The following is a 12,993-nucleotide window of genomic DNA, read 5'->3' on the forward strand; positions in this document are numbered from 1 at the left end:
GAATCGCTTGAACCCAGGAGGCGGAGGTTGCAGTGAGCCAAGATCGCACCACTGCACTCCAGCCTGAGAGACAGAGGGAGACTCTGTCTAAAAAAACAAAAACAAAAAGTTTAATCTGAGATTTCTTATCTGACAAACGCAACCTTTAAAAGAGCCTAAATGGTCAATCACTACTCTTAACTGCACTTGTGTACATAACCAGTACAAGTTTAATGAGATTAAACTTATTTAGCAAACAAATCAATCTGACTTTGATTATCTTTGACAGAAATGAGAGTGAATATAGAGAGAAAAGTTATGTTTCGGGAGAAAACTGCAGTGCACCCAATATTAGATTCTAGCTGTTTTTTTTTTTTTCCTGAGGTTTTATTATCTGCCTGCAATCTGCAATAGATCCTCAATTTTTCTAGTTTACTACAATATTTAGCTACAACACTCCAAATTAATATTTCATTTTTTTCCTGCTATTCTGGCTTGGAATCACTAAAATTATAAACTTTTCATTTCTTGAAGTCCTTCAAACTGAAACTGGATGACTTGACATAAGCTTCAGAAAAATTACCACAACAGCTTGTGTGTGGCCCATCTTTATGACATTCAAACTGCAAACTAATCCAATGCCTCTTCTCACTCCAGCTGAAGATACTACAAGCCCAGCATCTAGAAATCTTATTGACCAGCTGCCCTCTGGGCTCAGAAACTGTCTTTATAGTTCGTTCCAACTATTAATCTTTTTTAATTTTATTTTTATAGAAACTAAACTTCCCACATTAAAGGCCCGATAGCTCACACTATCCAGGAAATATCCTCTGCTACCAAGTCCCAACAGATGATTCAACTGGTCCTTAATGAATAAAAGGTGATCAAACAAGAAAAGAGACTTATATTGTTTGAAGGAAAGATGAGTGTCTCTTCTTTCCTTAAACAAGAAGTAGTACTAACAAAGATTCCTTGCTAGGACAAACTTTAGTCAGATGTCTATCTTCCTTGCAAAATCCAACTTTTTTTTTTTTATGTGGTACAATGTGATGTTTTGTTCTTTTTTTTAAATTTATTATTATTATACTTTAAGTTTTAGGGTACATGTGCACAATGTGCAGGTTAGTTACATATGCATACATGCGCCATGCTGGTGCGCTGCACCCACTAACTCGTCATCTAGCATTAGGTATATCTCCCAGTGATATCCCTCCCACCTCCCCCCAACCCACAACAGTCCCCAGAGTGTGATGTTCCCCTTCCTGTGTCCATGTGTTCTCATTGTTCAATTCCCACCTATAAGTGAGAATATGCGGTGTTTGGTTTTTTGTTCTTGCGATAGTTTACTGAGAATGATGATTTCCAATTTCATCTATGTCCCTACAAAGGACATGAACTCATCCTTTTTTATGGCTGCATAGTATTCCATGGTGTATATGTGCCACATTTTCTTAATCCAGTCTATCATTGTTGGACATTTGGGTTGGTTCCAAGTCTTTGCTATTGTGAATAGTGCCGCAATAAACATACGTGTGCATGTGTCTTTATAGCAGCATGATTTATAGTCCTTTGGGTACATACCCAGTAATGGGATGGCTGGGTCAAATGGTATTTCTAATTCTAGATAGAATGTTTCCTCTTATAACTCATAGTGAATATGACTGGACAATGAAACTATTTTGTAATTTCTTTCCTGAAAGATAAAGGCGTTAGAACATAGAATCTTTCATTGATTCTACAGAATCTTAAGACTCCTTCAGAGATGGCAGTCATTCCTACCGTGCTGAACATCATGTTGTCACGGTCAGAATCAGAACTAAATTGATTAAGGGTCTGAAACAGTTTGGCACTCTTGGGCACTTATTCTGATAAGAAAGCTGATGAGACAGGGTAATGAAAAGAGGCTGCAAGAAATGACCATTCATGCATTCAGCCAACATTTAGGCCACCCTCCTGTATTCCAGGCACTGTACGTGGCACTGAGAATGCAAAGCAAAACGAGTCATGGTCTACTGGCGGGAGCCTTCTCAGCGGAGAAAAGATCAACAAGAAAAGTGCCTGCTGGAGATCCCTCCTAGGGCATAAACCAATATAGAGGTGGGGCAGCTACGTCAGCCTGAGGTGTCCTTAGGCAGAACAGAAAGTGAGAATCAGAGCAGTATCTCATTTCTGAACACCTGGATGGTAGCTTTCCCTGGACTGACTGTCAAAGGAGGTGGTTTTAAAAAGCAAGCCAAACAGGTTTCCATCCTTTAGGAAGACCCTGGAACGTGCCAGTTGATTCCGACAATTTCTCATGAACAGAAACACCTAGGAAGGGAGAACTGGTGAGTCTTTTCAAGAGGAGGAAGTCCCTCAAAAGGGGCTGTGTTTCGCAAACGGCGCCCCAAAAGGGCTGAAATACTTCGATCTGGAGGAAAAAGACTCAGGCACTGAGGGAAGGGGAGGGTGCACATCTGGAGTAATTTCAAGGCTTTTTCCGTGTTATCTGAGGTGGCAACAAGTAAAGATTTGTTCGTTTGTATTATTTTTTTAATTTTTAAAGATTTTCTTTTCCCCCCTTTTCCCCTTCCCGGCCACTCCGGTTTGTGTTTGCCACAAGACTCATAATTCCTTTAGAAAGTGGAGTCGAATTCATAAAAGTGACGGGGGGAGAGCGCGGAGAGGGAAGGCTGGGAGCCCCAGGGAGTCTTCACTACCTACACTGCCGCTCAGCTCCCGGCGCGAGTGGAGGTCGGGGTGGGGAGACGCGACTCCTGCCCGGGATGGCTGACACTCTGCGAGCCCCGGCGGCCCGCGGCCGGGCCGGGTGACTAGGCGGAGGGCGCGGAGGGTCCGCGGCGGGCGGGTGGCGCTGCAGCAGCCTGGGCACGGCTGCCGCCGCCCGCGGGCGAGAGTGTGCACGGGTGTGGAAGGCCGGAGTGCGGGCCGTGAGGGGTGTGCGCGCTTGAGCCGGAGCGGGGCTCGCCCCTCGTCGGCTCCCGCCGCCCAGCCGGTGATCGCTCTCCGGCCGTCCCCGGCACCCTCGGCCCCCCACGGCGGTTGGTCCGGGCGGGGGAAGGAGAAAGTGAGACTCGGTGTCATCACCAATCCGTCGCCAGAAGGGGAGGAAACTGGAATCCAGCAGCGGCGAGCAGCAGCTGGACGGTAACATCTGGAAATGGAAAGCCGACCTCCCCCTCCTCCTCCACCTCCTCCTCCTCCTCCTCCTTCTCCTCCTCTCACCCAGGATCACTTCCGAAACCACTTGGCCTTCAGCCCCTGCCTCGGCCAGAGGTTTCATTTTTAACTGAATATTTACCAAAGCTGAAAGCGTGCGAGGGGGGTGGGGTGGAAATAGCGGCTGCTTCTTTTCCAAGGATTTATTTAATGGGGATGTGTTCAAGGCAAGACCGAATTCAGAAGGATATCGACGTCGTGATCCAGAAGTCCAGAGCTGAGGACTGCCTGTTTGCAGGTGAGTTCTTGCTTTTCCAGAACCTCGGACCCCGCGCCCCCTTCCCAGTTCTCTGACCGCGACGTGTGTGGCTGGGGGTGGGGTGGAGGGTTTGCACGTCCGCATTCCGGGGTTCATTTGGCAACAGCTGCTGCAACGAACGCGGGAGCCAAAAGCGGGAGGGGGCGCCAGCCTCGCCCCTTCCCCTCCCCCCACCCCCAAGTCTGGGGCAGCTACCAGCTTTGAGGGCAGAACCCGCGTGGCCCGAGCGGGGGTCTAGGCGAAGGGGCAGTGCGTGGTATTTCCAGCCCCGCGTAGTGCCCGAAGCCTGCAAGCACGCCTCCTGGGTTCCAGCAGCGGCGGCAGAGCGGGGTTGGTTGGACCCGCCAGGTTTGCGTAATGGGCTGAGCGGTGGCGGCCGGGAATGGAGCCTGCTGCGCTGCGCTCGTAAGCTGCGCCCGGCGCCGAGGACCCCCGGGGGGCAGCGCTCGGCCCATCTCCGGCCCCTTCGGCTCCATCTAGTCCCCTCCGACTGGCAAAGAGAAGGGATTCCTCGGATTCCCAAGGCACCCAGCGCCCCTGCCTGGGGGGGTCGCCTTTCGTCCATTTTGCTCCCCTGGGAGAGAGATCGGATTTTGCTTTCGCTGCCGCGAGCCCGGCGGGGCTGCTTCCGGCCTCCCCGACCGGGAAATTCCCGCCGTTGCCATGGCACCCGGCACTTGCTGCCGGGGGCGGCCTGCCGCTGCACCCAGTCGGGGGCGCGCCGCATCCCCTCGGACGCTGCGCGGAGAGACCTCGCCGCCCTCTAGCCCTCGCCTCCCGCCCGGCCAGGCCTCCCCTGACTCCACCAAATGGAGGGCCCAAGTCCTGATCGGGGTTAAAACAAATCCACTCCATGGGTAGCTTTTGACAGGACTTTCTGTTTCAGATTTCAGATACTCAGACTCCACCTTTACTTTTACCTATGTTGGCGGCCCCAGAAGGTATTTATGGGTGTAGAGTTGCTTCATTTCCTGTTCACACTCTTGTGTTTCCTTTGTTCTTAGCGTGTTCCGTGTTCGGGTATTTTGGTTGCTTGTTTGATTACTGTGGCTTTTCTTTACCTACAACCCAAGCCTGACGTCCCTCGGTTTTAAATAGCAGGGGGAGGGGAATCAATGTTTGATTCAGGTGTTTCGAAGACCACGCCACAGGCGATGAGCAGAACTCTTCATGTTGAAACGGTTCTGCTACAGTACTAGATTGCTCTCAGGCGATTTGGGGTTGATACAGGCAAGCCGGTGCAAAACTGGAATACTGGATATGAAGTGAAATGTATAAAAGACATAAAATGTCACAAAATAGTTTGATCACAAGTGTTGATTTTCCTGGTGAGTTGGGGCTGCGTGTTTCCATGTTTTCTGAAGGTTCACATAAACATGCAGCCTGCCAATTCTCTGTACATTTTTTTTTTTCAATGAGTGGTATTTCGGTTTTCACGTTTAGTTGTAAGACAGAAATTGGAGACTTATATGTAGCTGGAGTGGATGACTTCTTTCTTTTGGGGGAAGAATGAGAGATGCACATTTCGTTAGTAAATTGTGAACAACTTGAAACAAACCCAAATCCAATTTTGAATTTAAGAAGTAGAGTTAAAATGAAAGGTAGCCATTCAAATACTATGCCTTGCTGCCTTCACTTATTAAGTTAGGATTTTCTTCCTTTTAGCCCTTTAGGGATACAGTAGTTTAAAAGAGCAGTAGCCACATATGAAAGGATCAGATTTAGCTTAGAGGGAATTCCTTAGACCAGCCCTGCTGTTAAGACTTGACATTCAATATTGTTTGATCACATTCCAAAATATAGCTTAGCTAATGGCAACATTTGTAAACATATAAATTGCAAAAGAAGCTTTCTTGTGTACATACATTTTTAAAAGCTTGAAATTGATGTGAACTTTTAAAAACACGTAGGATCTGTATTACATTCTACATCTCAAAACAAATTTAATTAAAGTGAATATCATTCCAGTATATACAATATGCCTAAGACCCAGAATTGGCACATTGATTTACTAGTTGAAAATATAACAGTATTCACCAAACTTCAATGTATACTTTTTGGAGAGAATGAAATTACAGTATTTCTTAATTTACTGTAATGTCATCTTTGTAATTATGAATTAACAATTCAATGAGAGGAGACTTGGCTGATTAAATTAATGCTGGTCCTACACATTATATCTAAAGGATCTTCGTATATGACTACTATCCTCTTGGATTATTTTAACAGTTAAAATATACAAAGTGGCCCATTAAAAACAGAGTTGACTTTTCACCATTGCTGTTTTTCTGGTGAGACATGTGGAAAGGAAGGACAGGTGGACTTTTCAACTAACTAGCTCTCTGATTTTTAATAAGATACCTCAGTTCTTTTGGCCTCAGTTTACTTATCTGTACAAAGGGTAAGTCATATGCTTAATCACTAAGATCTGTTAGATACTGCAGTTAAGATTCTTTATCAGCAAATTACTGAACTCTAGTGTTAACATAGCTAGAGGTGGAAAAGGGAGCAAGACCAGGTGTTGGGATGAATAATTAACTAATCGAGATAACATCAGTTTTCACCATAGGAACAAGTACCATGGTTGCTCTTAAAGTAAGAGATGTTTCCTATTTTATGTAATTTTACTAAGGGATAATGTTTTCTTTTGTCACTGATTTAAATGTACCTGGATGTTTCTCAGCCATTTGGCTAAGATCGAACACAAGTAATACCTGGGCCTTTTATATCTAATCTAATGTAGACCAGCCTGTTAAAAGAGAAAGACAGTTGGTTAAACTGCTGATGTGTTGCTTTGTCTTCTCAAAAGCTTGTTCTATAATACAATATGTAAAAAGTTGTTACAGTGTAGTAACCGTAGATAATCCCTTTATGATTTGTACCTAATGGCGAAGACCTTTTATTTTCTGAAAATAACGTGTTTGTTTTCATTACCGACATTAGAAGCCAATATTTATTCATCTATTTCTCATCCTGACATTCCAGTCAGACTCTTAAAATAATCTTGCTGTGTTTTGATTTAATGTGCTTATCAACTTATAATATTGAATTAATGTTAATAGTGTCATTTTAGGTGAACTAGACTTCATTGAAGGAGGTGGGAGCCTTATGGAGAGAGAGTATATGATTATCTCTATTTGTATTTAATTACCATTTCATCTAACCATTCAGAACATATTTCAAGAATAATTTTAATTCAAGTTGTAGATAAAACTTACTATACCATTTTCATTTTGACGCTTTCCAAGAATGAGATACACGGTATTTTAAAGACAAAGATTGATCTTACATGTTACTATTAAAAAAAACACGTTAATTTTGTTCTACATTTATACTTTTAATTTTTCTGTGGATAATAAGAAATGCCAAGAGTCGATTGTGTCCATGCTGGCAAGTGGCCTAATAAATTGTCCTTTTATTTGGTGGTCCTCAGAGTGGCAGTTAACATCTTGCTATTCTGCCTTGTGGACTTGAGGTGGAAAGGTTCATGGAATTATATCCTTGCTTTTGGATGTGCAAACTGAGGCTCAGAGAGTTTAAGACACATAGTCACTTTCACCAATTAAATGATGAAGCTGCCATGTAAACGTATTTCATCACACTCCCGAGACCTTCTTCTCCAGTAGTGTTTTCAAGCTTTTTGAGCATGCAGACACTACCATCAAAAAATTATGTAGAGACATACTTGAGAGTTACAGTTTAAAGAAAAACAAGGTGTAATTATTTGGTTATTAGTAGCATTTACATATGCTTGAAAACTTCTGCTATATATACAGTAAGATTAATTTATTCTAACAATGATCTTGATAATCCCCCTGATTCCCAGACTCCTTGGAATAGCTCCACAGCTATCAGTGGTTCTGCCACAGGTTCAGAGCCTTCCCAGTACTGCCTTCTTATTTGAGAGGTGTGCTAAGAGCTATAAAGCAGAGGCTTCAATTGTACACAGTTTGGAAGTTTAGGCAAAAGTCATTTCTTCCCTATATTTTGTCATGCTTATCTCCTGTCTCTTTCTGTTTTACAGATTAGCAATAAACTCCTTAAAACCCAAAGGTTTGGGCTTCTGTTCCTTTCACTTGCAGTCAGACATGGAGTTAGTGGTAGAAGAAACAGAAGGGGTAACCTGCATGGTGACAGCTACTGAGGGGATGGATAGGAAAGCAGGCTGAGTCCCTGGGGCCAGTGGTTACCAAAGCCAAGGAGAGAGCAAGGGGAGCCCAGTGGGCCTGGCCATGGACTGCTCTGGAATTCCGAGTGTGAACTTTCAGCCAAGAAGGTAGTGTGAAAATATTACTGTGAGGTTTTAAAAGTACACAAATAACAATTGTTTTTTGTAAAAAGAAAAAAAAAAAGTTAGAAAAAGAGATATGCCAAAAAGAAGAAAGTAAAAAATACATGACTTCTGTCTTCTGTTAACATATTAAAATTTATTCTTTTAGATTTTTATGTGTCTATATACATGTAAAATATATATGCATCCCCAAATTGTATTATACTCTTTTGAGACCTCACATTTTTTTCACCCAAGAATATAACATTAATTTCTTTCCTTTAGAAAAGACATGAGACTAAAGAATGTTTATTGAGTTGAGAGTTTCCCAATCAAGGAGTATGACTCTGTATAATAATAAATCTAATGTTTTATTAGAAATTATAATAAAATTAGAAATTTAATATTTGGCAGGATGTGAGTTGCCTGCATATGTACACCCTTTATTATATGACTAGACACTCTTTTGTGTGGTCATGGATATATTGGCATCTTTTGAAGTGTATCCTTTTTGTTTCAGGAGCTTCTGTCTAGATGAATAGCAAATGTGACACTGATAATAGTAATCGAATATTCCTCCAAGTACAGGCTCCTTCCTCTTTCTCCTGGACCTTTGCACATGCTGCCTGGAAAACTCACCCACAACCTACTTTCCATCCTCTCCTTCGGCTCATCCCTGCTCAGCCCTCTTTGTTGAGATATTTGCCAAGCCAGATTCTCTGAGAAGCCTTTCCTGGCATCTTCGTCTATATAATTCTGCTAGTTGTTTCTAAAACTATGTTGTTAGTGTATATTGTAATCACCTATTTATGTCTGTTTGACTGTGAGCCTCTTGGAGATGGGAATTCTCTCCTATGCATTGCGGTTTCCCCAGGCCCTAGCACACTGTCTAGCCCAGTATTCCTTCTCAGTAAGTAGGTGTTGAATGACTTACAAAATGAATGCTAAAAGACCTGGTAGACAAGAAGGAATTTCTTAGCCTAAATGACCAGATGTGGAGAAGATACTCAAACACTTCAGGGTCCCCGATCTGGTGATGTCACTTGCAGTGGAATTTCATATGAATCCAGTGTGACAGAAGTTGCCTAGTCAAGTTGTAAGTCCTCTTCTCTGGGTCACATGTTCAAATACTTTTAGGAGACAGATAATGCAATATTTAAGATACAGGAAGTGATGAAGACTGTGGCACACTGGAGAGTTTGGACTCCAAGAGTAATTAATTCAGTTGAAAAAATCAACAGCACTCTGTTGATCAAGCAAACTTTCTAGGGGCCCTAATCCACCTGGGCCTGCAGTATGTAATTCCATAACTCATGGGATGCCATCAAGAGAGACAATCTACTTGATTGCTAAAGGGCCTTTGTTTTCTTTGGAGTTCCCCAGGAAGGAGAAATGTATGTGTGTGCAGGGGTGAGGAGGGGGGAGAGTGAAGAAACAATACTATCCCCTTAAAAAGGTTTGTCAGTTTTCATTATGAAAGAAGACCAAACGTGCCCACTCCAGAAATCTTGGCATATGCAGTTATTTTGAAGCCATTCAGCGTTCTTCAAGATGTCACAATGAAAAGAGTGATGGTTTTTTAAATAAAAAATTAACATGTTTCTCTTGGCAATGGGACTTTCTCACCATACTTTTAAGTTACATCACTTATTATATATTCAAAATACTGATTTTTTAAAAGTATGTTCCTTGGAGCCCTGGGAACCTGCCTCAGGAGCTGAGGTGGCTGTGGGGAGGGAGTATGAAGGGAGCTGAATGAGTTAGTGAGAATCTGGGTCTTCATATCTTTTTTAAAATTGTGGCTGCTTTTTTCTGTTCTGTATAACAACTCTTTTTGAAAACAGTTTCATTGTTGAGTTTTAAAACCACTGACCTAAAATAACCACCAATTTAACGTAAGTATAACTTCATTGAGTTTTTTTGTATTAAAAAAATTAAACTCCATTTTCTTCATGGATTAAGGTGATCCTACTAGGATATTTATTAAGCGTTGTCTCTGCTGTTCTTTTTGCTTGCCTTGCTTTATCCCGTGTTTCCAAAAAATACAAATAGGTATTTTGTCAGCTATTTTACATTTTATAGCAGGGAAATCAGAGGCTTGGGTGATTTAAGTAAGTTACAGTTAGTAAGAGCCATAGGATACATTTCGGTGTAAGTCAATGTTTATGTAAGGCTTAAGAGACATTGGTTGAATTGGCATGACTAGAATAGTTGAGAATGTTTGGGAATGGGGAGAGATTGCTAATGGGATGTCTGCCAGGGGCAATACTGAAAATCTACTGGTTGGCAAAGGTAGTGCCTGAGCCCAGTGCTAACCATAGTAGTTGGAAAATTGTGTACGTTGGCTGTGGAATCCTTATGCAAATATTTGTCCAATCCATCTAAATTTCTCTCTGCAGCATTTTTAAAAAGACATATAGCTGAAATTTTGTCAGTCCTAAAAATATTTTGTATTTCTCTGCCCAGATTTGCATTTGGGTAGATAGTGCTGTAGAAGATATATCTTGCTTTAAGATAGCTGCCACTGATTAGTTTAGTCTATTTTAATCAACTTATTGCCTTGTAATCTTTCCTTTTTCATTCTCTAAATTTCTGAAATTCTATCTTTCATGTTCCTCAGGAAAGACTAGTAAGACGTGTTTTTATTAATAAGACATTATCCTCATTTCACCATGACATAATTTGGGCTTTCTGTTCCAAGTTATCCTACTTGAATGCTGGACACTTCCACCTGAATATTTGTCATTTTCACCTCAACCCAGCACATCAAAACAATCCCTTATTACCTCTTTAAAAGAAGCTTCTCTCTCCAGCCTTTTCCTAGTCAGTATCACATCTTTTGAGCCAGGCATGGGGATTGCAGTTTCAGATTTCACCTCAAGTCTTCCTCTTCTGGTTCCTGAAGCTCCGGCAACCTCTGCTTTGAAACATTGTTGGCCTCTTCATCCCATCCCATGTCAATATTTAGCCCATGCCCTGTTGGCTTTGACTTAGCTCAATCACCTTAACCCAGTGTCTTAAAATTCTTGATTTTGAGTTTCTTATCCATCCAGTTTATTTACACCTGAACTCTTTAAGCATGAAATTAATCATTCTTCTGTTCAGAAGCCTTCGAATGTGACCACAGCTTTTTCCATATAGACCTAAAACTTATATTCTTGGCCTTTGAGAGCTGCCTTCCCTACCCACTGATATATGTTTCTCGTGCTTCCTAACACCTACATGCTTCTGTTTGCTTAGTGACCACCCCCCACCCATTCATCAGCAGTTTGTATTAATTTAGTGTAAAGCTGTGTAAAGTTTATTGATTGATAATATCTGTGTCAAGATCATGGTTTTTATTATAAAGAGCAGTTCATTGTGTTTTTTCCTTGCCCACGAATGGTATCTCTGTTCATTAGGATACATAATATTTTATGCGTAGGAGGATAGAGTGAGAATATGAGTAGAACAAAGTAAGAATGAGAGGAGAGAATAGTGAAATTTGAGGATAGGATGAGAATGTGAATAGATTTATGTCCATCCATTACAAGATTAATAACCACAACGATAAAAGTCTTGAATGTTATTTATTTGCATATGAGTGATATTTCAGTTTGTGGCTGATACCCTTTTGGTATTAAATGGAAGATGACAAATCATTCAATATTAATTTTAGAGGGAGACATCTATTGAAACCTTTGTGCAGTCAGGTCAAGTTTCTGTGTACAAAAATTAGCAGAGAGGTTGCTGCTGGTTGACTTCCCCTAGGATGGTGTCTTTCTGAACATTTTGAAATGTAGATTGAAAAGGTGGATTTGTCAACTAATTCTGAAGTGCTGTAGTTATTTGTGTTTTCATCGTTTTATTGTTTATTTTATTTTTAAGATGGAGTTTTCGCTCTTGTTGCCCAGGCTGGAGTGCAGTTGTTGCGATCTTGGCTCACTGCAACCTCTGCCCCCCGGGTTCAAGCGATTCTCTCGTCTCAGTCTCTCAAGTAACTGGGATTACAGGCACACACCACCACGGCCAGCTAATTATTTTGTATTTTTAGTCGAGACGAGAACTCACCATATTGGCCAGGTTGGTCTCGAACTCACCATATTGGCCTCAGGTGATCCGCCCGCCTCGGCCTCCCAAAGTGTTGGGATTATGGGCGTGAGCCAGCCACGGTGCCCGGCCTGTTTTATTGTTTGAAAAACAAGTACAGGTTGTTATTATCCAAGAATTGTTGATAGAGTATATACTGTATTTGAAGTGTAGAACTGAGGCAGAGGCTGATTAATATAACTAGTTTACATTTGTTAGCCTTTCACATCTGTGAAGGAATAAAGTACAGACAAAAGTGGAAAACAAACCAGGAAAAAAAAAATTGTGAAGCACAGAGCTGCTTAAAAGAGTGATGTCACATTAAAAGAAAAAAGTCACAGAAATAAGTCAGTATTTTGTTTAGAGACTAGAACTCCAACTGCTAGCCAACTGCCTAGAATATAGTAAATATTTTCTAGTTTCTTAAATGACTAGTAATATTCCTACATTATGTGATGGCATTTCCCAAACTGTTTAATTAGATGTTAGATTTGTAGCCAAATATGTCTAGGAAATGCTTAAACAATATAAAACAGTTTTAATGATTGGCTTTTTAGAACGTTATATATTAGTGTGCTTTATGCATATCCAAGAGGTGAGTGAGGTATTTGGGGTTTTTCAGACTTACTTGATTACAGATCTGGAGTATCTCAAAACAGTTGTTTTGTGGAAAACACTTTGGCAAACTCTGAGTCTTAGTCATTAAAAATAGTTTTTGGGTAAACAACAGTGTAATAGAAATGGAAATTACTGATTCACATTGAGCCATGAAGAATTTATTTTCAGCAATTTTTATAGAAGTTGCTTTATGACAAAGAAAGCTTTGGTTAACTGGCATTTGGCATTTCACACCCCTAAATTTTCTACATGAGGATTTATTTCTCTGGTTCTCTCACTTTCTCACTCAGTTATACTGAATTCATTTATGATGAGCGCTCTCAACCATTCTTATTCATCAAAGCCCTGAAGTTGGCAGAGCCCTCTCTGGTACCTGATTAGAAGTCCGTCTTCCGTCTCATAGGGAAGTGTTAGAGATGGATAATGTTTCTGTGTAGCAGAAGTAGTCATTATGTCCCCTTAAATTCGGTCACTTTGACTGCAGTAGAGCTTCTTAGTGAGCAGTCTGTGATGGAGTATACTTTCGGAGAAGCTCATGGTGGGGGAAACCTGGAATTTATCTAAATATTTCATTTCTTTG

The 12,993-nt window shown here is 41.4% G+C and overlaps 1 pseudogene; it reads right to left on the reverse strand.

Annotated features, from left to right (window-relative positions):
- Positions 1–2,493: 2,493 nt before the first annotated feature.
- Positions 2,494–10,365, reverse strand: LOC124904397 (uncharacterized; annotated as a pseudogene).
- Between the last annotated feature and the right edge of the window lie 2,628 nt (positions 10,366–12,993).

This window comes from Homo sapiens, chromosome 1 (assembly GCF_000001405.40).
Source record: "Homo sapiens chromosome 1, GRCh38.p14 Primary Assembly".
Taxonomy (NCBI): Eukaryota; Metazoa; Chordata; class Mammalia; order Primates; family Hominidae; genus Homo; species Homo sapiens.